The sequence below is a fragment of the Homo sapiens genome, chromosome 6, assembly GCF_000001405.40.
Source record: "Homo sapiens chromosome 6, GRCh38.p14 Primary Assembly".
NCBI lineage: Eukaryota > Metazoa > Chordata > Mammalia > Primates > Hominidae > Homo > Homo sapiens.
Genome location: NC_000006.12, coordinates 56,058,384 through 56,082,255, shown reverse-complemented (window position 1 = coordinate 56,082,255; position 23,872 = coordinate 56,058,384). Strand labels below are relative to the sequence as shown.

At 33.2% G+C, this 23,872-nt stretch overlaps 1 protein-coding gene across 14 annotated transcripts in view; it reads left to right on the top strand.

Annotated features, from left to right (window-relative positions):
- Window positions 1–23,872, top strand: part of COL21A1 (collagen type XXI alpha 1 chain) — a 337,539-nt gene that overhangs the window by 311,873 nt on the left and 1,794 nt on the right. For 11 of the 14 annotated variants that reach the window (NR_134849.2, NR_134850.2, NM_001318752.2 and 8 more), the window contains 12 exons: window positions 4,683–4,727; window positions 6,724–6,777; window positions 7,971–8,024; window positions 11,458–11,511; window positions 13,139–13,210; window positions 14,926–14,961; window positions 17,634–17,678; window positions 20,575–20,607; window positions 21,219–21,365; window positions 21,461–21,515; window positions 22,038–22,238; window positions 23,014–23,091. Coding sequence is in view for 11 of the 14 variants with exons in the window: in NM_001318752.2 (NP_001305681.1) it covers window positions 4,683–4,727; window positions 6,724–6,777; window positions 7,971–8,024; window positions 11,458–11,511; window positions 13,139–13,210; window positions 14,926–14,961; window positions 17,634–17,678; window positions 20,575–20,607; window positions 21,219–21,365; window positions 21,461–21,515; window positions 22,038–22,238; window positions 23,014–23,091 (874 nt within the window). In the remaining 3 variants the exon portion in view is untranslated. The remainder of the gene's footprint in view (window positions 1–4,682; window positions 4,728–6,723; window positions 6,778–7,970; window positions 8,025–11,457; window positions 11,512–13,138; window positions 13,211–14,925; window positions 14,962–17,633; window positions 17,679–20,574; window positions 20,608–21,218; window positions 21,366–21,460; window positions 21,516–22,037; window positions 22,239–23,013; window positions 23,092–23,872) is intronic. The other 3 variants (NR_134851.2, XM_006715223.2, NM_001318754.2) reach the window with 2 other exon arrangements.

Below are 23,872 nucleotides of genomic sequence, written 5' to 3'. Positions count from 1 at the left end.
TTGGGCTCTGGTGGCTACATGACTTTCCCACCATGTGACAGGGGTCCCAGATCTCTTAATCCTTTCCCTTCCTCTCCAGATAGTCTTCGTCCTTGTCTGAGTTTTCGGGTTTGTTATTTTAATTTGCTAAGAATTTGAGATTTTGTCTTGTCCTGGAAAAGGATGCTTTTGCAACGTAACATTGTTCAGACTATTTTATTTGTTTATAAAAATGTAGAAATGCCTTTAGGTGTGGAAAAGAAATGCCAGTTACTGCAGTAGCCTTGAAAATGGCCTCCAAATGGCTTTTCCTTCCTATGATATCTTTGTTCTCTTTTTTTGTAGCCTATAAGGTGAAACTTGTGACACTTTCTGCTTTATTATAAACATGAGTAGCCTATATTTATTGGCTAAAGTATTTTCTACTTAAATTGTTTATCTTTGGGTAATTTGGGTCCTGTCCCAAGTGGGCCCTTGTCTACAGGCCAGGGTGAATAAGTTCATCCAACGTTCTTAGATTTTTTTTCCTTAAAGATTAATTACAGCATAATATGGGAATAGAAAACTGTTCATTTCCTTATCAAGGGTTTATTGCAAGTACTTGTATATTGGTTTCTTTTAGGTCTGGCAACTGCGAGTGTAAGTTACTTCTCCCTATAGTTACCTTACCACAGAATAATCTGTTGTAAATCATTCATAATGGCCTGCCAGTTACTGTGGAAAAAAAATAATTGAAAAACATTGCAGGGTTCAACTACAAATATATTTAATACTCTTGGTCATCTTTTTATGAACAAATAGTGATGAATTATTTAAAATATTTAAAAAGCAAAAGTCATGATAGTATTACTCTGTAATCAAGATCAGCCAAACATGAAAAGGAAAGGTATTGAATGGGGGGCAATGCCGACTTGTTGGCGTCCCCGAGTGGGGGACTTTAGATTGCTAGCATCATCCTACATATAATGGACATTTTTGGAAATGCAAGTAGGGAAAGGCAAGGTAGAAAGCCAATAAGAAAAAAAAAAAGAAAAAAGAAAAAGCCTTACAATGGAGAAAGAGGACAAAACGTAGAGACATGGAAAAAAGTTGACTTCAAGTATTTCACAACTTTCAAAGGTCAGGGAGGAGCTGTGAAGAGACAGTTATAAAAATTTGTTCATTGTCATGCCAGCACTGAGCTAAATATTTGTGAAAGCTAATTGATAGAATGTACCAACTCTATGAGATAGGTTTTATTATTTTCCCGACAAAGAAAACTGGGATTCAGAGATTTTACAGTTTAAATAACTGGCCTGGAGTGGATCTGCTATTAGGACATGGGCTGGCTGACTCCAGCATCTATTTTTTAGCTGCTTCCTATGGCTTCTACTATGCTCTTTACTGATAATCAGATTGGAATCTTTTTAGTTAATGAGAATGATACTTTCAACATGTGAATTTTTTCTTCATTGAATCTTTAAGAATGAATAAATCACTTCTTGATATAATGAAGAAAACATGTAATATACTTCTGATATTTTGATAACTGGATATTAAATATCTCTACCATTGTGTAGAAAGGTAGATAATTTGACATAAAAATACCATTAATAGTTTAGATCTTTTTTAGTGAATTGAAAATATTGCATTACTTAAAAGCAAATTTGATCTAAGATGGTCCAATTTCATAGATAAGTAAATACATTCATTACATATGGGGAGTATACTGTGATATTTTGTCTTTTCTAAGTAATATTGTCATAGACACATTCCCTTCATTACAAAGTATTCTCTAGGAAATAGAAGTCAAACCCTTTATTCTAAAGTATGTATTTCTATTCTTAACAACTTGTTTGTTGTACAGCAGTGGTTTAAATGGTTACAGAGAAGCTTCTAGAACAATTTTTTGTGTCAACATTCTTTAACCACAACATTATGCAGGATTTTCTGGTTGACTTTCTGCTCTTCCTCAAACCCAAACTGAAATCACAGAAGTAGAGGAAATATGTCCACTTACTCTTACTTCTTTCTGTCTTTACTTGGACATTGTCACAGTTGCCTGAACCCAAAACCACAGCGAAACAGAAAATAGTCTCCTTGGAAACACATTTGCTCTATAAAATAATTGTCACTAAATACTTTGCGATCAACAAACTGTTAACTTTCAAATGCTTTTGGATAATATTACTGCTAACTTAAAATTAGCAAAGTTTAGTCAATTTCAATACACATATTGGGAGCCCAGGAAAATATTAACTTGGAGAATTTTATTAACTAATATAGCTCTGAATGATTTCAGTTTCCCTGGTTAACCTCTCCCTCAATAAGCTGGTATTCTGTGCATGCTTGTGGTATTATATTAGTTTTGCCAAGAATTCCTTAGATAAATCAGGCCTATGTTTTGTTTTTGATATCCTGTAGTTTTTATATATTTTTACTTGGTATTTGTAAAAGAAGTAATAATTCTTAGCATAATTGGACATAGAAGATCCATTAGGACTTCATGGACATACATATCTATGAAATGTATGTAAATTTTTGGCCAGTTTGAGAGGATGAACAAAAAGAAAAGGAATTTTTTTATAGTCTGGAATCTCCCCCAAATAATCTTAATAGCAGATATATTGAAATAATGTAAGATTTGTGGCTATGTTCTACTACAGACCAAGCTCAGTATTAGAGTGTCTCAGATAAAAGAGTGTCAGATCAAATCCAAGGAGTAAACTGTGGGGAAATGGGCTCTCAAGGGCTTTGAGGAGGTGGAAGCCAAGGTGCTGTTCGTGGAAACCTGGGTATAACTGTTTTCTCCAGGGAAAGGATGTGAACTTGCTAACACTGGGATTGTCTTCAGGATATCTGTAACTAATTCTGCTAACATCACAGACTGTGTAAGGGCACAGGGACTTGAATAGTGATAAAAACTTTAAATAATTAAAGACTAGTAAGAAATTCAGCTTCTCAGGTCTGACACTGTCATCGGTAATCACATGTGCCCGTTAGGGACTCTGGGAGCCAAGGTTATTACATTGACAGAACTGTACCAGTTTTCCAGCATAGAACAATGTATAGCCACCTTCCTTCTGAGAAGAATTTACACACGTATTTTAGTTAAATTCAGAACTTGATCTCAACTTTTAGTGAATTTTCACACGTGTGTGGGTATTTGAATGGGAGGAGGTCACAGGGTGGTTTCACACCAAATTACGGTTCATTCAAATGGAGGCCCTTATTTTGAATAATGTTTATCTTAATTCATTGCATTGAGAATATACATTTTCTGCCTAAGAAGGTACAATTCATTTTATATTCATAACTCAGTGATTTTACTTTTACTTTATGTTTTAGAGTGCTTATTAGGTGTACTGTGATTGTGTTTTATATTGTTACTTCAAGGTATTTTTATTGTTTTCATATTATTCTCTACTTACGTTTATAAAGGCCTGTCTTTGCAACTAGATTGTGAGTCCCTTGTTGATAGTCATTGCTCACATACCACTTTTGTTCTCTGCAAATGGTATAGTGAAGTGGCAAACTGAATTGAGCTGAATAGAATCAAACTGAATTCCAATGTATGATTTGAGTTCAGATTTTAAAACTAGAACTATGTGTTTATGTCTTGCCCTATAATTGCGATTAGCACATTGATCAATAAAGGTTGTATTTATAAACTCAGGGTGTGAAAATAAAGATAATGGCAGATTCTCCCTGCAATAGAAGAAGACACTTGATCTCATTGTCAATGGCAGCTCTAGCACCTGCTGTGATTTACTGAAGAGTACTGCTTTCCTTTGGAAGGCCTGCTAGTGCAGAGGGTTTGCAAAGTCATACAGATGTGACCCAATTTTCTTGTCTTTCAGTGTCAATACATTTGTATAAATATAAATGTTGTTAACTGTTTCAGCTCAAATGTCACCAAAATAGGTGCTAAGAAAATGGAATAAAAAGCAAAAATTGATTAGTACAATCACTGTTTTGCATGATAAATGATCATGTTGGGTAAATGCATCAAAAGGCAGACAATAGAACTCTTCTGCAAGCAATAAATGTGCTAAATTTATTCTTAACTTGATAGAATTAACATTAATTTTTTCTGAATGTTGCTACAGACATGTGCATATGAGTTCAGCCACGTGAAAGAGTGACCTGTACTTCTTTATGTCTCTTCACAAACTGTGGTCTTCATATTCTTCATGATTGCATCAGTAAGGGAGTTATTAAGAGAAAAGATTGCCATTTTTTATATGAATATTTAGGTTCTTGGGTATTTCAAGGCTCAGGTGGGAGGCAATCATTTAATTAAATTAATTTTTAACTAAGGTGGTGACACTGAGGGCTTGTGGAACTGTTGCGCTAAATCAGAACTTATATCATTTAACAGATTTTCTTGCATGATTCATTAGAATACAAGAATGTGTTCAAATGAAACATCATTTTAATTTTATCACTCATGTGTTGGGGTGCAAGAACTGAGATGAATTTCCTCATAGTTTCTTTTTCAAAAAGCCTTTATTTAAAGCTCTAAATATCAGTAATATTCATATAATGCTATATCTCCTAAGTTGTCTTTTCCATATTGGATTATTACAAATAGCAATATTATAATATGTATACATTTGAAAATATGTTATTTACCAGTTAAAATTCCAATTGTGACTGTTTCTTCTTTAATGATAAAGTCTTCAATTTTTTATAAGTTAAAAATCTATTTTATTTGTTTTTAGGGAATCCCAGGATTTCCTGGAAACCGAGGATTAATGGGCCAAAAGGTAAGTATTCATGAGAGTTAGCTTTGGGCCTGGATCTGCTCATTTAATGCATTGTTGTCTACAATAAAATACAGTTTTACATTTGTGGTAACAGTTAATTTTTCAAATATTATATAATTTTAGAAGACGTTGTTTTGGCTTTACAAATTTGTATATATTGTTTTGTGGTTGTTTTATATAGATAATATTAATTTAGATTTACATTATATGCTTCCTCCTTTACTTTGTTACTTTTCAACTTTGTTCTCTAACATAATTATGGCATAATTTACTTCTTTATAGTTAATTTACTTAACTATATTTTTGAATGTCTTTTTAGTACAGATAGCTTGGTAATAAACTTTCAGTTTTTATTTAATTACAAACTTCTTTATTTTGCTCTTGTTTTGAAGGACAGTTTTGTAGACTATACAACTCAAGGTTGACAATTATTTTCTCTTAGTAAATTGAAGATTTTCTTCTATGGTTTTTTTGGCTTTCATTGTTAACTTTGAAAAATCTGCTGTCATTCTAATTATCATTCTTTTGTAAGTGATCTGTTTCTTTCTTTTGGAACCTTTTAAGGTATTTTATTTGTTTTTAGTGTTCTTCAAATTCACTACAATATGTCTAGATATGGATATCTCTTTATTCATCTTGCTGGGAATTCAGTTTGCTTCTTTGCTCTGTGGAATTATTTCCAGTAGTTCTGGAAAGAATCACCATTATCTCCATATGACCTCTGCTCCATTCTCTGTTTCTGGAATTCTGGTTAGACATTTTATTTTATTTCTTCTAATTTTATGCTCTACATCTCTTTTTAGCATTACCTACCATATTTCCATATTTTTGGTTGTCTTACATTCTGGTTAAATGTTTTAGATATACCTTATAGTTTACTTATTCTTTATTGTGTCTAATCTGTTAGAATGATCAATTGATTTTTTTTAAAAATGATAAACACTCATAATTTTCACTTTCAGAGTTTATAATTTTTTAAACCACAACTTTTTGTTCTTGAAGTCTCTTGTTATATTTTCAGTACTAATAGTCTTTCATGATTCTGTTTTTTTAATTTAAAAAAATCTCATATCTAATTCTAAATTCTGTTTCTAACAATTCTAATATCTGCAGTTAATTATTTATTACTTATTATTCTCATTCCTGTATCTTGCTGTCTCTTGTTTCTATATTGTTTATCATGAGCTCATTGCTTCATCTTAATTTAGAGGGTGTCCTGTCAGCCTAACTAGGAAATGAAGACCTGCCTTTTGCTGGTAGCCATGGATACCATTTCAGCCCCATTTGAAAGTGCTGAGTCATCATAGGTATTGAAGATTCCTGCTTCCTTTCCATGGCTGGCCAGCATTCAGTTTCCCAAGAGCTGAAGATCCACCCTCAGATACTTCCACTTTTCTTGGCTTCTACAGTTCTGTCTCTGGCATGGTTTCTGTATAGTTCAAATTCTCATAATTATAGCCCCAACTCAAAGTATATTTCATTAAAATGAGAGATCTTTGAATACCTCTCCTACTTCTTGGAAGACCAGCACTCTCTCACAGAGGATGTTCCTTCTAGGATTTTTGTTCTGGACTTAGAGGACCTAGTCAGCCGCATCCCTGGAAGTTGAAGTCTAATGCTGTTATTTTTTTAGTCTATTTTTCTTTATTAATTTATGTTCACTATCATATTTCTTAAACTCTATGATAAATAGAAAAATTTTTCACCTGATTTTTATTTCTGTTGTTTACCAACTCCATCTAAGCTACTAGGTCTTCCTTTGAAAGAATGGCAAATGTTACTACAAATGTCATAATAAAAATATTGAGAGTAAATCCTCAGACTCTATGCCAAGGTCTTTAAGGCCTTGCTCCTTCCTTACTGTAGTGGAAGAGAAAGCAGAAAAAGGTGAACTGATTGATATTCAATTGTCATTCCATTGTGCTTTGGCAGAAGCTTTCTTGAAATAAATTGATAATTTACAATTTATAATGTTTTTAATGTTTGATTTTTTTAGGGAGAAATTGGGCCTCCAGGACAGCAAGGAAAAAAAGGAGCCCCAGGGATGCCTGTATGTTGATGTCATTATCATCATACATCAAAGTGTTTGCAGTGTTGCTACTACCTACTAGGAGTTCATATTCGAGAGTTCATAAAAATGTAGGGGATACAGCAATAAAATATTTGAGGTCCATGAATTCCATTCTGTTGTATGAAACATATTATGTCTATGTGCATTTTTCTAAAAGAGTAAAGATTTCTTCAGTTTCTCAAAAAGTTGGCCACCCAAAAAAACATCAGGGACCCTAACTGTAGATAAATTAGAAAACATGTATTCTAGCTATTAATTTAAAAATACTAAGTACCATTAAGTCTAAATCTCAGTGATTTTTTTATTTTAAATTAAATTTACAAACATATTACACTAATGGGAAAGAATATGTATAGAAGACATAGTATGGGAAGCTCCTAAAACAGAGTAAATTATTTCAGAATTTTCAAGAGTGAAGATGGCATATGAAACTGATTCAAAATTATGAAAATTCATGTGTGCAAGAATCCCCCCCCAAATTTTAACTTTATTGCTAGAAGTGATGTTGATTTTAATATATGAATCAAATTGTCTGTTATAGGTTCATATTGAGATTATATTTTCTAATGATATAATTTTTTAATCCCTTTTCCTTTGTAAAGTGTGTTAAATATGTATAATAGTATTTAAAGTAGAATCTAAATTAAATCAAGTCCTAATTGAAAGAGTAGTTATCATTTTTTATTTTGAATGTTATGATTAAAGATACGGCCATTTTGTACCCTGAAGAAAGATTATCCAGAGAGTTTATTAGAATGTAACTCTTTTAAAATATTGTTCAAGATAATAGAATTCTAAGTAATGTTAATCAGGATAACATCTATGAAGACACCTAATTTTAGCCATCCTAACAAAAGAAAAAGTGTAGAAAAAAAATTTTCCTTTATATTTTTCTTTTACTAGCTCTCCATTTTCTCTATTTGTAGTTTTTGTAAGCAATAGAATCATAAGCGCTCTGCTAGCCTTCATGCTATCTTGCATAGTTTGATTTTTTACTTTTATTATCCTCTATGGATGTATGGTGGAGTAATTTTCTAAATATTGTATTATATTTTCAGATCTGTATTATAATTTAGTGAATTAATTATGAGAATGTGTAACTTGGAAATTGATTTAATATTTTTTAATAATCTTCTCTAAGTTACTCTTGAAATTCCTTTTTAAAATTGTAGGGTTTAATGGGAAGCAATGGCTCACCAGGCCAGCCTGGAACACCGGGATCTAAGGTAAATATGATAAAATAAACAAGACTGGGAACTTTGTATAATCACAGTGGCCATTTATAACTTTGATGAAAATTTTACTACTACCTTGATTGTATTTTAAATGTGGTTTTTATTCTATGAAAAAAAATCACTTGTAAGAATTAAATCTGGAAAGGCTCAGCCTAAGAAACAGGCTAAAGTAAAGCTCATCCTGTTATGTTGGAAAGGGTCCAGAATCTCCTGCTGCTCAGCCCCCTTCTCCCTTTTTGGTGTCTTGGTGTCTAGTATTGAGGAATACTAGAGCTCTATAGAGCTCAGTGCCAAAACCACCAGTCTAGAGCATTCATAGTTATGAATAAGAATATCTCTTACAATATCAGTTTTCTAGTCTTCTTTTTGGTATTTTTATTTAGTGGAATGTATATAGAGTGCCTTGTAAATTATACTAGTTCTGTGAGTAAGAGCATATTATCTTTACTTTTAGATTTTAAATAAGTAAGGCAAGCTTAACAAATATATTTAGGATATGAGGTTAGTTATTCTCAAGGTAGAACTGAAACTCTTTGAATGTCATTATTTGACCATTTCCTAGCTATATATAATCCTGTGGTACGATAACTATTTTGTTTTCTTGGTTAACCAGAGGATCAGACAAAACACTCAGAAAACTGTTCCCAACTATTTTGCAAATAGATTCTAGGACAGCCTTCTAAAAGGAAGTGATGGAATTGCTATTTTAGAAGCAGTCAACCTTTGACTAAGCATTGCCTCAGGGGAATAGACCCTGGCATATGAGTAGATGACCTACTCTATTTTACTTTTAATTTCTAAAGTATTTAGAAAAGAGAGAGAAAAAAAAGACATGGGAGCCCAATAATGAGAAAAGGTAGCTGCTCTTCCATCAGTGGTAGACCCTTGTGGATCCTTGGTGTATTGTGGGCTCCAGCAGCTATAGGTACACACAGAGTTGTGTGTGACTGACTTGCTGGAATGACTGAACTTGCTAAGCAGGTCTCCACAGTTTCTCAAGGTCATTTTGTAAGAAAATACCCCTTATTAAGTGGTGCACAATGGGCTCTCTCAATGTCTTTTGGATTCTCTAATTCTTAAGAATGCAGCCTAAAATTTCATCAGCTTTTTTTTTTTTTATTAGATACACCACACTGTTGACTCACACTGTGTTGAAGGTCAATTGTATCTGTTGGACTTTCCGTAAAAGGTTTTAGAACAATGTGTGCTGTCTACCACTTAAGCAGATTCTGCTGATTTGGCTGGGTAGGCCAGTGAGGATTTCCAGTATCACAGTTTGTTTATTTTTACATGAATTACTCTAAAGTTGGTTTTCTGCATCTTGTGCTTGTACAATTATTTTGTTAAAAATAGATCTAAGAAGTTAAAATTACACATATTAAAAATACACATAATCTTTTCAATAAAATATTTTAATTTTTTTCTTGCTGTATATTAGGTGTTGGAAACTTTTTCTGAAAAGGGACAGAAAGTAAATATTTCAGGCTTAGAGAGCCATACAAGTCTCTGTTGTAACTACTCAATTTTATCATTATAGTGCAAAATTGGCCACAGGCAATACCTAATCAAATGGGTATGGGGTGTGGCTATGTTCTGGTTAAACTTTAAGAACTTGCATTGGGCTGGATTTAACCCATGGATCATAGTGTACTGACCTCTATATTCGTTTCTTTCTGCTAGTTTTGTCAGCTTATGTTTGTGGCTTGTGCTGTCAATATCACTGATAGAAGTTCTAGGGTGAGACAAAAACGTATTCAGTAGGGCAGAGATAAGGCTGAAACTGAGGCAGATCTTTAGAAAACCTCTAATTTATATTATAATACTTAAAAATAGCTGCAGAAACATTTATAAGCCTATTTAACTATACTATGTTTTGGTTTTAAAAAAATCTGCCCTTTACTCGGTATGTATCCAAAGGAATATAAATCATTCTGTTACAAAGATACAAGCACACGTATGTTCATTGCAGCACTATTCACAATAGAAAAGACATGGAATGAACTCAAATGCCCATCAGTGATAGACTGCAAAAAGAACCATGGAATATTATGCAGCCATAAAAAACAACGAGGTCATGTCCTTTGCCAGGGATATGGATACAGCTGGAAGTCATTATCCTCAGCAATCTAATGCAGGAACAGAAAACCAAACATCACACGTTCTCACTTATAAGTGGGAGCTGAACAATCAGAACACATGGACACAGGGAGAGGAACAACACACACTGGGGCCTGTTAGTAGGGGAGGGAGGTTGGGAGTGGAAGAGCATCATAAAAAATAGCTAATGCATGCTGGGCTTAATACCTAGGTGATGGGTTGATAGGTGCAGCAAACCACCGTGGCACATGTTTACCTATGTAACAAACCTGCACATCCTGCACATATAACCCAGAACTTAAAAAGATAATAATTATCTAAATAATATTAAAATATATTAGCTTTATCGAGTCAGATAACTTTCAACAAATCTCATGTCTGTGAATTTCAGTTTAATAACTTATAAAATTAGAAATTTTAAGGAATCATTCTGTGGTTCAATAACACTGTTATGTGCTAAATGCTTTAATTAAATCTAATGTGATCTTCACATGTTTCTTACCATGAGCAGCCTACAAAACTTTTTTAAAAGCTGAAAATGGCATTGGTTTGCCTCACTGATTAGTAAACCCAAGTTGGTTGTGGGTAATTATTGTGTTCCCCTTCTAGGTGTCACACCAACCTGCTTAATTATGGGCTTTTGCCAGACATTGGGTTGTGATATCAGGTATCAAAGTATTTGAAAACCAGAACTACATTTGACAATCTCTCCTTATTAGCCAGAAGACTTGTTTTCTCTTTCTCTATCCACTTTTCCTTTTCTGTATTACATTCTTTGCCCTGTCAACTCAGCCTTGTACTCCAAGTTTCCATCTGTTAGAAAGAACTGCACTGGAATCCTGAAAAAGCACAAACTAAACATTTTCTGATTCACACTTCTTCAAAAAAAGCCATTGTGCATTTGAAGCTACTTTTCTTTCCTTCAGTTGCATACTGAAGATGAGTCCTACTGAGAAAGTGAGACAGGATAATGATGAGGATCTCAGCCCGGAGGATGCTGTTAAAGTACATGTCTCCCACCTGTGCAATGTGGTGGCTGGACTTATTAGTGCTGGCCACTAAAGATTTGACTCTCCTCCCTTATACTTGAAGCTACCAGCTTTAACACAGGTTTTTAGAGAGGCTTATGAATATGTGGAACCCCTTCCTTGCCTAAAAGATTTTTTCATTTTTCTTAATACATAGGTCTAATGTACAGAGTCTATCAAACAATCGGAAAGTTAAAAATGTAAAAGTTATTTTACATATATTCCCTTAAGTGTCTATATCAGATATATTATGACAGAATTGTTTTTAAAAAACTCCAATGTTTTTGATGTGTTGACAGGGAAGCAAAGGTGAACCTGGAATTCAAGGGATGCCTGGGGCTTCTGGGCTCAAGGTAATTTTGATGCATTTGAAAATATTTTCAAAGAAATTATAATGTAAATTCCCCTCATTATTTAAGAAAATTAACATTTTATATCTCTGAAGAGATACATGAAGTTAAGGATTACCTTTATCATGAAATTAAGGTACCTGAAATGAAATTGTCAATACAGTTTCATTTCTGTTTTTTAGATACTTTGTCATTGGATAATAAAGATATAAACTTTGGCTTAATTTTTTGAAAAATTGTAAAATTGTAGGCAAACATGAACTTACTTTCTGGTCCAGAGAATAGATTTCCCTTAAACAGCTGAAAACAGGAGCATGTAGTTCTCATGAATGATACTGTTCTTTGTTTGCTTATGGGAGTTTCATCTTTGATATAGAACTCACAATAGCCTTTACCAGTTTCCTCCAAACCACATGGGTTGATGTTTATTTCAATGGGATTTTTAATACACTTCCAACCTTCAAAAATCTAGAGAATGATTTGATGGCTAGGAAGTAAGTACAGTAAGCAAAGAGAATAAAGCCTCCTTTTCTTTTAAAAAAGAGAGTGATCTTTAGTTGATGTTACAGAGTTTTGGACTAACGGTAAAACACAAAACGAAACAGAACCATGAAGCATGTTCAGGATTATGTTGCATCTCTTACAAATATATCCTAAATATGTCAATGCATTATTAACACGTGCTTGCAAATAATTTATTTAAGACTTTAAAACAAAAAACTTTATTTCAGAAAGGACAATTCCTATAGGATGATGGAGAGTGGAGAACTGGAATTAAGATAACTCATGTAATACACCCTGTACTGAAAAATAGCTCAAGAATTTATTTCTAACAAAATAATATTCCACATATGTAAATAAATACATATAAATAATTAAATTTAACTACCAGGATGTTCATTCCAATATTTTTTATAAAAACAAAAATTGTGAAAACTGTAATGTTTAACAATAAGAATTTTATTAAATAAAATACAGTTGATAAATATGGATACTCTTCCATAATTAAAACTTATGTTATGAAAAATATGATAGCATAAGAACTTTATAATATTAATATATTTAGAGATTAAAAGATAAAATTATGCATGTATATGAGCACATTTTATTAACTATATATGTGTGTTTATGAATTAGAGTTAGAGAAAAAATACATAACAAAATAAAAATATTGGGTTATAAGATTTTTAATAATTTTTATTATTTCTATTATTTTGTAACAAGAAAATAAGCTTTTTTTAAAGTAGCAATTTGAGAAAAAGCAGTTTCAAGGAGAATAAGTGTTAGTAAATAGGTAAACAAAAAAGAGATACTTGTGTTTATTATTTTTACAACTTTATTATTTCGTTTATTATTGAAATTATAAAGTATCATAAAAATAACAAATATTTACAGAATTTTAAAATATGAAATGCTGTGAGAATTTTTCAACTGGAAAAGATAGAGAAAAATACAAGAAATTTTACTGGGATTCTAGTAAACATTTTATTCTTTACTATTTCTGTAGTAGTAACTGTCAATACATTTTTTTAACCATTCATTTTAAAATTGAGATATGTAGAGATAAAAACAGTGGTGCTTTTCATAAGCAGTAGATCTGTGATCTTTCTGGAATTTCTGTGTTACATAGGGAGAACCAGGAGCAACGGGTTCCCCAGGAGAACCAGGATACATGGGTTTACCCGGGATTCAAGGAAAAAAGGTATGCATTGGTTAGGAGATACAGTTCGCTTTTAACCAGTTACTTGCAAACAAGTTTTTCTTTTGTGAAATTCTTAAAGTAGGACTTGTTATTAATATATTTTTAATGATAAAGTACCCTATATATTCGATGTATGTATAATATGTTCAGCCCCATGCTAATAGCTGTGGCATCTTTTATATACCCACATGGGTATTGTCTCCTAGATGAAGACCTTAGAAAAGACATGCAGATCAGAAAATATGAATGTACAATTAAGTAATATCCTGTAAATTCAGGTTTTTTTCACAAACCAGGGGAGCTAAGAATTTTTTGAGGAAAATTGTCCAATGTCAGGCATTCCTATCAAAATGCAAATACCCCTCTTGCCAAAACCGGATCAAATTCTGGAAGGATAAAACTTGTGTCCAAAATGTTTGACCATGAAGTTCCTATCTATGAAACAATTATGTTACATAGAAGTTTATTTAAAATTAATTTAAGGAGTTTAAAAATGCAAGTCAAATATACTAATTTAAAATATTTTGGCAAGGAAAGACAGTAAAACTAGGTTCTCTCTCTCTCATTTTGGTCAAGTAAGGGAAACTTGACTTGTATGTATATAAATAATATATGCTTTTATTTGTTTGGAGGTTTTGAGCAACAATTGATGCCTGTGTGCCTGAGAAGTCCATGCTACTGCAAATACAAATGTTTCAGGTTAAAAGTAAATCTATCGGTTTTTATTCTGGAAAAGACACAAACTCTTATGTCTCCATCTTCATGTCCCTTGCTATTTATTTTTCAACATCTTATTTTCTATCCCTCATGTGTTGTCTACATGGTGCCTAGATCATACACAGTATGATCCTTGGGCTTTTTGTTCTGATGATCAGTAGGCAGCACTAGCTGAGACAGAAGTGTCCCCACATAACAGCCATCAAGTGTTAGACTCTTAGTAAATGTTAAGTAAATCTACTACGAATATATGTTTGGGATGAAGAGAATTTTCTTGTTCAGAACTTGTTGCCATTTAAAAGAAAATCTGTATTTTTTTGTTGAAATGCAAAACTGTACTCTATGTTTAGATAGTACGGTGAAGTATTAATAGAAAGGAAATTTGGAAACCGTGTCCAAGTTTAGCTTTGGGCAGGTGCTTAACTGGCTGTTTCATTATCTATAAAAACAAGGGCATTGTATAAGTTGGTTTCTAATTTCCCTTCTAGCTGATAATCTATAAAACTTATTTTTATGGAATATAATTTTTCTTCCAAAAGCTCACTTTTGAAATATATGTTTTCTAAAATAGCACTTAAATGTTATGCTTTACTTTATCATTGTTTCCTATAAACTTGTGGCTACTAATAGCTTAATGGAAGATTTTCAGTTTGATTTCATAAAACAACATTTGTCAAAATAAGTCCTCTCTTGTTAGTTTGTCTAACCTAAAACTGTGAACCATGTAGAAGTTTTCTCCTTTCTGGGAAATTAAAGATTGTGGTGAAATTTCTTTCAAATGTAGGAGCATACAAAAGTGTTCTTTTACAATATCATTTTGACATAATGTGGTTCTGCTCCCTTCCCAAGTATTGTGTTAGGAGTCAACTTCTGTGTATACAGGCACTTGTGGAGTTTGCACGAGATGTTGTTTTTCTTCAGCAGAGAAAAATATATGTTTATTTGAAACTGTACAGAATATGCTAGATTATGATACAGATCAAACTGCCTTTTTGTAGGGGGACAAAGGAAATCAAGGTGAAAAAGGTATTCAGGTATGTTGTTTGCTTTTTTTTAGTAGGCTGAGCAATAAAATCAGAGCTTTTAAAAAGTTCTTATTTTACTTTTAAATTCCTTTCTGTTTCAACATTAATATAAAGTTGTTAAATCCTATTTTCTCCTTTTGCTATTGAGCTTTTCAGACAAGACCAAATTTGACTTTAAAATTCCTCACCACTTTGCTGTTGCAGAAAACTTAGAAACAAAATGATTCAACAAAATAAAGACATAAATTTTATTATATACTTCTAATATGTATTTATATACATATATACATATATATATATACCACATACACACACACACACACACATATATATATATATACACACACACAGTGTGTTTCCAAAAATGACTTGAAATTGTTTTATGGCAAAAGTTTGATAAAAAACCTTTAACCCTAAATATAAAACATATTCAAATCAATATGTGAAAGGAAAATTAAACCAGAAAATTATAACAGGCTAGGGAAATCTAGGGTGATTTAGAAAGATATTTAGTTTTGGGTGTCTTAGCAGCAAAGGCAAAGAGGAGACCTATTTTACTACTTCAGGAGACAAGGATAGTTTCACCTCAATTAAAGTGTCTATGGAATGGGTTTTTTCATTCACTGAAGACTGACTTTTGAATAAGATGCCACTAGCTGAGTCAATGAAATAGTTATCTGGGATAAATTATATCTGATGTTCTTTCAACCTTTTAAGTTTTAGAAATATAAAACTTTTCCAACCATAAATTACCAATCAAGTGTTCAGACAGTATTTTAATGATGTTTTTAAGTTTGTAAGTCTCAGTGATAGTGTCTGAGCTTTGCTATGCAGAATAAGCTGAAAATATAAAGAAAAATACTCTGGACATTTCCACAAATGTAGAATTCTGAATGCTGTAGAATTTCTGGAATCGTAACAGAAAATTTCAAATTGAAATAGTCATAGGCAAAACTTGCTATATCCACAATTATAACAGTTCCTATTAATGAACTTATTCTTCATAACATACATAAGATGTTTTAGAGTGGTATGACAAAATTCAGTTGTTTTTTAGACAATTTTTATCGAAAATCTTCAAGTACTATGATATAGGATTCCTTTAAGTTAAGATTGAAGTTGGGAGTGAGGTAAATGTTAAGTAAATGTCTGTGAGCTCTAGACCCATATATTCTAATTTCCTTCTTGGTACTGCATTTAGATGACTCATGGGAACCTCAGGTTCAGTATGTCCAAAACTGAACTTGTCATCTTTCCCCATAAACCGCTTCGTACTCACAGATTTCCTGTCATGATAATCGATGCTAAATATCTCTTGAACTTGACACCTTCTACCTCTCCTGACTGTACTAGTTATTTCTTGTCAGGGGTCCTGGGCTACTGCAATATCTTCCTAACTGGTCTCCTTGAGTCCAGTCTACTTCCTTCTTCCACACTTTTACTTGCATAAAATAGCTAAGCTATATATCTGCTTAGGAGTCCTTTAATCGTGCCCCACACATGTTAAGATAAAGCCTGTGCCATCAAATGCCTTCTGGGCTGACTGAATCTTTTTTAGTGTTATCTCTTGCCACTCCACCCATTCTTATCCAATCCTGCTCTGCTGCTATAGCCAAAAGAAACTACCTGCCTTTCACCTGTGTCTTCTCTCCCTGATACACCCTCCTATCCTTTCTCCAATTGGCTACCTCTTACTCACCCCTCAAGGCTGCACAAAGGATGAGTCACATTCCCTACCCTTTCTGTCAGATGCCCCTTCCTAAGTTCCAATAATATCCAACCCAGATGTTTAATTATACATTGTAGACTTATCAGCAGTATTTTCATCATTCTAGATTTAATTGCTTATCTCTCTTACCACACAGTGAGTGACTTGAAGGCCACAATGATATCTTTGTTTCAGTGTCCCTAAGTGCCAGCAAATAGGTGCTGCTCAAAAAATGTTAGCAATTCACTTAATTAAATTGATGAATTCATTACTAGGCAAGGGTGATGTAAAATTGTAGTCACTAGATCTTTCATCGATTACCTTATCTAGGTGTATGTCTTCCTAGAAACTGCTAATTATTTTGCGCAATAAATATAAGGATGAAGTAGTGCTTCAGAGTCTAGCATAATGTCCCATGAATGGTAGATACCCAAAAATACTTATTGAATAGATAAATGTGTTTATACCTTTATTAATTTTTCTGTTATTTATGCTGCTTTAAAGCTCTTCATTTAAATGGCTTTTTTTTTACTAAAATGTGACAGTATATTTTAATTTTTAAAAATAAAATTTTAAAGAGATCTTCTTGTCCTCACATGTCCATAGTCAACAATGAACATAATTGCCACTGAAATTAATAAAATGTCCATATACATTGACTTTTTAAACTATTTTCCCACTATTAATATGGACTTAGAAGAACATCCTCATTGTCTAGAATTATTTACATGTTTCACCCAAATCAGTAATTTGTTCCTTATCTCTGTCCACTTTAACTATAAGATTAGGATGACTTTTCTTCTTCTTTTTCGCTGAGTAACTGATTTTCCCATCTCTCACATAATTTATATATTTGTATCGCTGCTTTTGTTACGTTTCTTCTGGAACTCAAGGTAATACATAGTTTGTATTGCATATGTGATTGCATCGTAAGTGTGCAAACTAATCAATAATGTTTTTTTTTATTTTAAAGGGTCAAAAGGGAGAAAATGGAAGACAGGGAATTCCAGGGCAACAGGTATTTTTTGGTTTTCTTCTGATAAAAAATGAAATAACAAGTCACATAACTGGACAATGCTGAGAGAGGATTACTTGCAAATAAAAATGGGTGGGGAGAAGGACAATATAGTATGCATTCTAAGCATATAAGGTTGAACATGTAGGTAGTGTGGTGATAATGAGTTTCTTTCATTATTTGTTTTGTGTTTTCACTTTCCCATACTGATAACACTGGTGGCTCTGAATTTTGTTTTTTAATGCGTCCAAGCAAATGACTGCAGGTAGAAAATTCCACCCATTTCTTGGGGGTAGTTATTGGCCAGAGACAGCCAGTCACACAATGGCAGCTTGTTCATCCCTGCTGGTTTGTCTTGCTTTTCTTCTTGAAAATCAGTTGGGGCCACATGTGGTGGAGAAATGTACTTGTTTCCCTTTAGTTTGTTCAGAGAGACAATTTACTGCTCTGGAGATATATTAAAATGCTATCCTGAGAGACAGTGTTGTAGAACAGACACACAGTAAGATGGCTTTGCTTCTTTCTTGACTAAACTGTTCTCATTAGGTGATGTTTCAGTGAGATTGCCATGTGACTGTAAGTTCAGTCAGAGCCAAAGTGGACGGACAAAGGCATAAAGGAGATTGGTACTTAGATAGCATGTTTGCTGCTGTGTTGCTTGTAGCTGCAGAATGCTGGACATGGTTCCAACTTGATCATGTCTGAAAGGGCAAGCTGGATATGTGAGTCCTCCCATGGGGTGGACCTCTTTCTCTGAGGGTGAGTGGGAGAAAGATTCTGCAATTACACCAACTCTGGAGAGAGTGGGATAAAACTGGGTAGTGATGTCTCCAAGGACAGGGGTCTCTGTGTTCCTTACTTGGAGGAGTCTGAGAGACCATTGGGAAGAGTGTAAGCATAGGGCCCCAAGGTTATCTGCAACGTGGGATGGAAGGGGAGTGCCAGATGTTAAGAAGAATTGAGAATTTAGAAGCTAACAATAAAAGTAAAAGTAAAAGTAACCAAGAGGAGGAATGATTGGAATTGCCTGAGTACAATTATGTTCAATAAAATGTCTTTCAGTTTTCATGATCCTCCACTTGACTCAGACCCACTTGATGACACAAACAACTCCATCCTATTCCCCAACCTGGCAACACAGATCAACTCTCTGAGTTTCCTTAAGTCAATCACAAAACATCTATAAACTGCTATTCCCATAGGACCTTCTTCCCTTCATTTAACCTCTACAGCCCAGACCTTTTATCAAAAAATGTTACTTACAATAACTCTCAGAAAAGAAGGATATTTCCTTTAGAATTTGAACTCACAACTTAGCTAGCTCACTGGCTTATGGATCACACTTTCTCTAAGTTTCCACTAACTTTTTCACTTCTCAAGGAAAAGAGTGTGTGTGCTCTCCTAAGGCAGGATTTGGGTTCCCTAGAAAGCTTCTGCCCTAGATTGGTTGGAAGCTACATTTCTCACCACCAGGAGCTTAGCCTACATGGAGTACCCAGGGCCAGAGCAGCTGTTGCTTTTCAGCAGCTGAATAGTCATCCCAAACTCTTCATGTAAACACAGTCTTAGTTACCTGTCACTCTACCAAGCACAACACATGTGTATTTTTTGGCCCTCGTTTTGTGAATGGAGTCAAAGTGAATATTTCTCTCAGAGAATCATCTTAATGTGTTCTCAGATGACAGCTCTTTTTAGTTTTAGCTCTAATTCAATTCCCATATTGAGAACTTAACTGTTTTGTCTCTCTTATGTTGGTCCTAGTTGTTGGATTATATCTTGTAAGGATCACTCCCGCATTTCTTCAGAAACAAAATTCAAGTATGACCATACAAAGTTTGTTTTACTTACTAAAAGATTCATATATAAAAACTAAATATTTGGTGTTTTATGATGATTTTTATTTAATTCTTTTCTTTGTCTAATTTGGATAGCCATGTTTGAGGAGCCTGAAAATTAATCAACAGATATACCCCAACTCAGACTTCATTGTGTGCAACATTATACATTAAATTTCATATTAAATTGCAGAACACTGATTTTTTATTTTAAAGTTGAATAATGAAAACCTACCTGTTATTAAAGTTTTATCTTTTTTCCTGAGTGAATATTAGGAGATTTTTGAGCCCAGGTGTACAATGAATTTCAAAAATGGAAAATGTTAATACCTTTCCTGAGAGTTTTTTTCCTCTATAATACACCACTGAAATAAATATGGAAAAGAGGAGTGGGAGAGACTTTAATGGAGCCATCCAGATGTAGCTAGTAATTATAGTTGAATGAGCTTCATGCATGGGCTCCCCAGTGTTTATATCACTGTGAAAAAATACCATCTTTTAGATGACATTGCTTCTCTGGTCTCTTAATTACTGGCAGTGAATGGTTTAAGCACAGGACAGCTGGGAGTTTTCTGTCTTACTAGTCACTTTTAATGGTATCTTTGCTTTAACCCATCCTTTGTCAATAGCAACCAATCAAAATTTAATTTTAAGAACATAAACTTGGGAAAATACACTAGTCATCTTAATCACTGAATACAAGAAAAAATATACCTAATATTTAATCTGATTTGAGTTTTTATTATTATTAAAATAGTACTATATTTTAAATTCAGTAGAATCCCATTCTTACCCACATGATTCAACCTGCAGCATTTGAAAATATTCATATCTAAGAAGGAAACAGTTAAGCAAATTAAAATTTTTATATTATTCAGTCAACATATTTCCTAGTCATTAGCCTTCTCTAAAAGGCAAAAAGGGTCTGTAATTCTGTCACTAATGCTATCAATATTTTCCAAATTGAAATTTTAAATTTAATTAAGTATGTGGTAAAAGGTGGATGCCACATTACAGTACTGTAGCTTGCACATTTATTATATTTTTTCTATTAATTTTCAAAGGGAATTCAAGGCCATCATGGTGCAAAAGGAGAGGTATGTTTCTTCATATATTATGCTCTCTTGCTCTCTTTCTTCGGTCCTTTTTGCTTGGGTTTCAATACTATATAAATCTAGCTTTTGAGTAAAAACCAGAAAACGAAATGTTTTTCATCTTCTTCAGTAGAAGTTCCCAATTAATTGTTTTCAGAATATGTACATTTATACTGAATTTGATATGAAATGTGAATTGTCAATATTATTGGTTTTTCTTCCAGACTTGGAGCTGAATTTTTTCTCCATATTTTTGAATAAAGAATATTGTACATTTCTGTATCTGTCGGACCCACTAAAATGCAAGCTCCTTGTGAATAGGACTGTGTTATGCCCATTGTTTTATCTCTGGCAGTATGCGTATTACCTATACAATATACTCAATCAGTTGTGGATACTTGTAGGTCTGGCTGGTTGGATGGATGGATAAATGACAGTTTAATATGACATGAAATTTCCCTTCTGGTCAATGACAATATTTCCGGCTATTCCTTACATACCTTACATATTTACATATGTATACATGCATATTCACATCCTTAACGAGCTTCATGATGCAATTATACCTCCTGAAATATTTAAATAGAACTTGTAAAGATTTCTTTTGCTTTTAGAGAGGTGAAAAGGGAGAACCTGGTGTCCGAGGTGCCATTGGATCAAAAGGAGAATCTGGGGTGGATGGCTTGATGGGGCCCGCAGGTCCTAAGGGGCAACCTGGGGATCCAGGTCCTCAGGGACCCCCAGGTTTGGATGGGAAGCCCGTATGTATTCTGCTTCTTTCACAGTTATTACATTTTCATTGATTTTTGCTCATGTTCTTTATGTGCATGTTATAACCCCTAACACTTTGATGCAGGGAAGAGAGTTTTCAGAACAATTTATTCGACAAGTTTGCACAGATGTAATAAGAGGTAGGTATCAAATATAGCATTTTAATAACTTTTCTCAAATTACAAAAGTAATACAAATTCTTAGGACATATTGTAGAGGATATAAGTGAGGTGAAGAAGAAAACAGATAACATTTATAAGCCTCATCTACTTTTCTTCAATGAGTATTTTTATAAAGATTTATCATATATACTCTTTTATAATCTTTTTAATAAAGACATTTATTATTTTGCCATTATTTGAATTTTCTTTTGTAGCATATTTTTTGATAATTTAGTTCATAAATATGAATATAGTCCACCAATTTCTTTTGGGGGCACTTTCACTTTTTCCCCTATTTTAAGCAATTGCTCTAATAAAATTACCGCACAGAGCAATGAATATTTCCATAGTCAAATTCCTAGAAGTGAAATTATTGGCCAAGAAATATGCACATATTCAATGTTCGTAGTTTTTTCTCTGTAAACTGAAAAAAATTAAAAATATAATTAACACCAACTCACCATTTAAACATAAGGGATGGGGTTTCTTTGTTTTTGAAAGCCCAGCTACCAGTCTTACTTCAGAGTGGAAGAATTAGAAATTGTGATCATTGCCTGTCCCAACATGGCTCCCCGGGTATTCCTGGGCCACCTGGTCCGATAGGCCCAGAGGGTCCCAGAGGATTACCTGGTTTGCCAGGAAGAGATGGTGTTCCTGGATTAGTGGGTGTCCCTGGACGTCCAGGTGTCAGAGGATTAAAAGGTATGCAGTTAGTTTCAACAAGAAAATGAATTTTAAAAAGTCTTTTTTTAAAAATTCATACCCTATATCCATTTAATAGTCGAGTTAACTTTTTTCATGATAAAAAAATCTGTAAATGCTCGTCTTTAAATAATTTGCCAACTGAATTAAAGAGAAATTATTTTCTTAATGCAATATTCTCAAAAAGAGAAGTCAAATTTATGAACACATAAACTTACAAATTAGAAAATGTTGCCAATGTACTGAGAAATTTTGCTTGAGTCTAGAAAAGTTTTTAAATAGAAAATCACAGATGCCATTTCCTTTATTTTGACTTTGGTAACTTTCTGCACTGTTACCTTATTCATTTTTTTTTCTATTATAGGAAAAAATAAGTTTTGTGATAAAACTTCCTAATAGCCCAGAATTTCTCCTTGCCTTTGAATGTTTATGTGAAATGTTGATTGATAATTCTTTCCTTTTTGTTTAATAGTATATAAGCAATTTAGATGTTTCATAAAGTAATTTTAAAAAACTATGATTAACACAAAGGGCTAATAATTCCAAACCATTTTCTTTTCTAAATATTTGATTCCCATTAAGTCTTGGATCTAAACCACTGATCATTTTAGAAATTATTGCTTCAAAACTTGTTTTCCATTAGTAAGAAAAAATAGATGGCAAGCTGGTTTTTAAAAGACATTTTTCTTTCATGTGTATATTAACAGCTTTGAATGAAACAATCTAGAAGGCAGTGATTTTAAGTAAACTTACTCAGATGTTTGACACCCTGCAGGCCTACCAGGAAGAAATGGGGAAAAAGGGAGCCAAGGGTTTGGGTATCCTGGAGAACAAGGTCCTCCTGGTCCCCCAGGTGAGAATTGCTACCTGCTCATAAGTGTTACTGCTCATTTTGCTTTAAGAAAAGTCATCATAGATCTATGTGAAATAAATTGAAACTGAGACATCTGTTTTCTTTTTTGAGTGATTCACATTTAACACACTGAAGTCTAACTTCTGGAATATTTTTTCATATATTATCCTCAATTTATGAATCCTTCAATATTATCTCTTGCTTATCATTTAGATAGTTTAATATCTATTCCTTAGAAGAGTTCTAGAATCATTTTAGTCACCCCTGCTTATCTGGTGTATAACACTGTTTAGTCTTTATGACTCTCAGGGAAGCAGAGAAATGCTGAAGCGGTTAAGTAATCTCTGCTAGCTGTGCAGTTTAACTCTGCCATGTCTCAGTTTCCTCATTGGTAAAATGGTGATGATAATGTTATCTCCATCATGACGTTATTGGGAGATTAAATACTTTCTATATGTAGTGCTTTCAGAACAGTGCAAGACAATCACAGTTATGTTTTCAATAAATGTATGCTATGATTAGATGTTATTAATAGGCTTTGGAGTTGATCAAATGACTTAATACTATTTATGTAAAATACTTTGAACAACACTTACAATTGCAGTTAAGTGGTAAATAGATGTTTATTAGTAGTAGTAGCAGGGAGTAGAGGAGTAAGAAGTGGCCCAAACCACTGTGCTCCTTCCCAAAATCTGAATATTTTTTGTTATTTTGAATCAACTTTAAAAGGCCAGTATGGTAAGCTAGCTTTTGTTTCCTTGAGCATGCTAATTGAACTAAT